This window comes from Homo sapiens, chromosome 1, assembly GCF_000001405.40.
Source record: "Homo sapiens chromosome 1, GRCh38.p14 Primary Assembly".
NCBI classification, from domain to species: Eukaryota; Metazoa; Chordata; class Mammalia; order Primates; family Hominidae; genus Homo; species Homo sapiens.
Genome location: NC_000001.11, coordinates 39,596,369 through 39,598,924, shown reverse-complemented (window position 1 = coordinate 39,598,924; position 2,556 = coordinate 39,596,369). Strand labels below are relative to the sequence as shown.

Here is a 2,556-nt window from a genome sequence, read left to right as displayed (position 1 = left end):
TAAACCATTTTAAAGTACACAACTCAGTGGTTTTTAGTATATGCAGATGTTTTGCAACCACCACCACTGCCTAATTCTGGAACATTTTTATCACCCAAAAAGGAGCCCAGCACCCATTAATCAGCCACTTGTGTTCTCCTCTTCCCCCTTGGCAACCACTAATCTGCTTTCTGTCTCTGGATTTGCCTATTCTGTGTAAATGTAGTCATGTAATAGGTAGCCTTTTGCATCTGGCTTCTGTCACTTAAGATGTCTTCAAGGTTGATCTGGCGGGGCACGGTGGCTCACGCCTGTAATCCCAGCACTTTGGGAGGCCGAGGTGGGTGGATCACCTGAGGTCAGGAGTTCGAGACCAGCCTGGCCAACATAGTGGAACCCTGTCTCTACTAAAAATACAAAAAATTAGCTGGACGTAGTGGCAGGTGCCTGTAATCCTAGCTACTCGGGAGACTGAGACAGGAGAATCGCTTGAACCCAGGAATTGCTTGAACCCAGGAGACGGAGTTTGCAGTGAGCCGAGATCATGCCATTGCACTCCAGCCTGGGCAACAAGAGCAAAACTCTGTCTCAAAAAAAAAAAAAAGAAAGAAAGAAATAAGCCAGTCACAAAAGGACAAATACTGTATGATTACACTCATGTGAAGAATCTAAAGCAGTCAAAATTATAGAAGCAGAAAGTGGAAAGGTGATTGCTGAGTGTGGAGGTGGGGGAGGGAGAATTCATGTTTAGTAGATACACAGTTTCAGTTTTGCAGCCAGAAAAAGTCCTAGATGTCTGTTTCACAAGCCTTTAAATACACTTAAGGCTACTGAACCTGCACTTAAAATGGGTCAGAGGGTAAACAATGTTATGTGTTTTTTCAAGTACATAGAAGTCATCATTTTAACCATTTTAAAGTATATAATTCAGTGTTTTTTCTGTTGTTTAGAAGCAACCCAAAAATGGTCATTGATGATGCAACAATAAAGAAAATGTGGTTTATTCACATAGGAGAATATTATACGACCTTGAAAAAGAAAGGAAAACCATCTTAGTGGTGGTTGCAGATGTTTTGCAACCACCACCACTGCCTAATTCTAGAACATTTTTATCACCCCAAAAAGGAGTCCCACACCCGTTAATCAGCCACTTGTATTCTGCTCTTCCCCGTTGGCAACCACTAATCTGCTTCTGTCTCTGTGGATTTGCCTATTCTGTATAAATGTAGTCATATAATACGTAGCCTTTTGCATCTAGCTTCTGTCACTTAAAATGTGTTCAAGGTTGATCACACAGGGTGTGGTGGCTCACGCCTGTAATCCCAGCACTTTGGGAGGCCTAAGCAGGCAGATTGCTTGAGCCCAGGAGTTCGAGACCTGCCTGGGTGACATGGCAAAACCTCATCTCTACAAAAAATACAAAAATTAGCCAGGTGTGGTGGTGCGTGCCTGTAGTCCCAGCTACTTGCGAGGCTAAGGTGGGAGGATGGCTTGAGCCCAGGAGGTAGAGGTGGTAGTGAGCAGAGATCGCACCACTGCACTGCAGCCTGGGTGACAGACCCAGAGCCTGTCTCAAAAAAAAAAAAAAAAAAAAAAAAGGGCCGATCCATGTTAGCATGGATTGGCACTTGATTTATTTTTATTGCTTAATAATATTTCATTATATGGATAGGCCACATTTTGTTTATCCATTTATCAGTTGATGGACGTTTGGATTGTTTCCATTTTTTTTTTTTTTTGGCTGTGAGGAATAATGCTTCCATTAACACACATTCTGTTTTGCTCATCGAAATAGATTGGAAGGAAACACATCAGATTAGTAGTAACAACTGCTCCTGGGATTGAAAGGAGGGGAGGAATTGGACTGGGCAGAGGAACAAAGGGAACTTCAGCTCTGTCTATGATGCTCTATTTGTTTTATATAAAAAAAAATCTGAAGCAAAAATGTTAACAGTTGCTTATTCTGAGTGGTAAGCACATGGGCGTTAGTTAAGTTCACCTCTGAGCTTTCTATATTTTAAATGTTTAAACTAAAACAATGCATACTCTGGACCTATGCCTTCCTATAGCATAAGGGGGTTGTGGGGTCCAGGATAAGCAAACATTGAAGTGTGGGGAGAGGCCAGGAGGAAGAGGCCAAGCCATGGCTAGGGGGCGCAGGCTTGAGGCCCTTTGAGACCCAAGGCAGAAACTCTGACCCCACCCGCATGGCTCTTCTGGGACCCTTCCCCTGCCCAGGAAGAGGTCCTAGATCTAATCTCCATGACTCCTCAAAGAAAAGCCAGCACAAGGTCCAAGCTGGGAGAGACTGTCCTGACCCCATGTCTCCTGCCTTCTCTGCGTGCTCTGAAAGGGGTCATCCACCCCAGTGTCCTTACTTTCCACCTTCCTCAATCTTCTGCTCAGGATCAGCTACATCATTTGTGAGGCCAGGTGCAAAATGACAGCGTGGAGCCCCTTGTTCGAAGGCTGATGCCGAGGCAATTCCTAACTCCACAGGGGCAGCCACAATCTGAGTGGTGTCAACATGCCAGGGACTGAGGCAGGAGCCACCAGGGTGAGTAACTGGGTGCATGC

General features: G+C 44.7%; 2 annotated features.

The window, feature by feature from the left end:
- Positions 207–336: a silencer, noted in NCBI's record as "silent region_705". NCBI's record gives its function as "represses an Ori minimal core promoter by ATAC-STARR-seq in GM12878 lymphoblastoid cells {active_cell/tissue: GM12878}" and the evidence as "EXISTENCE:reporter gene assay evidence [ECO:0000049][PMID:35858748]".
- Positions 1,087–1,176: a silencer, noted in NCBI's record as "silent region_704". NCBI's record gives its function as "represses an Ori minimal core promoter by ATAC-STARR-seq in GM12878 lymphoblastoid cells {active_cell/tissue: GM12878}" and the evidence as "EXISTENCE:reporter gene assay evidence [ECO:0000049][PMID:35858748]".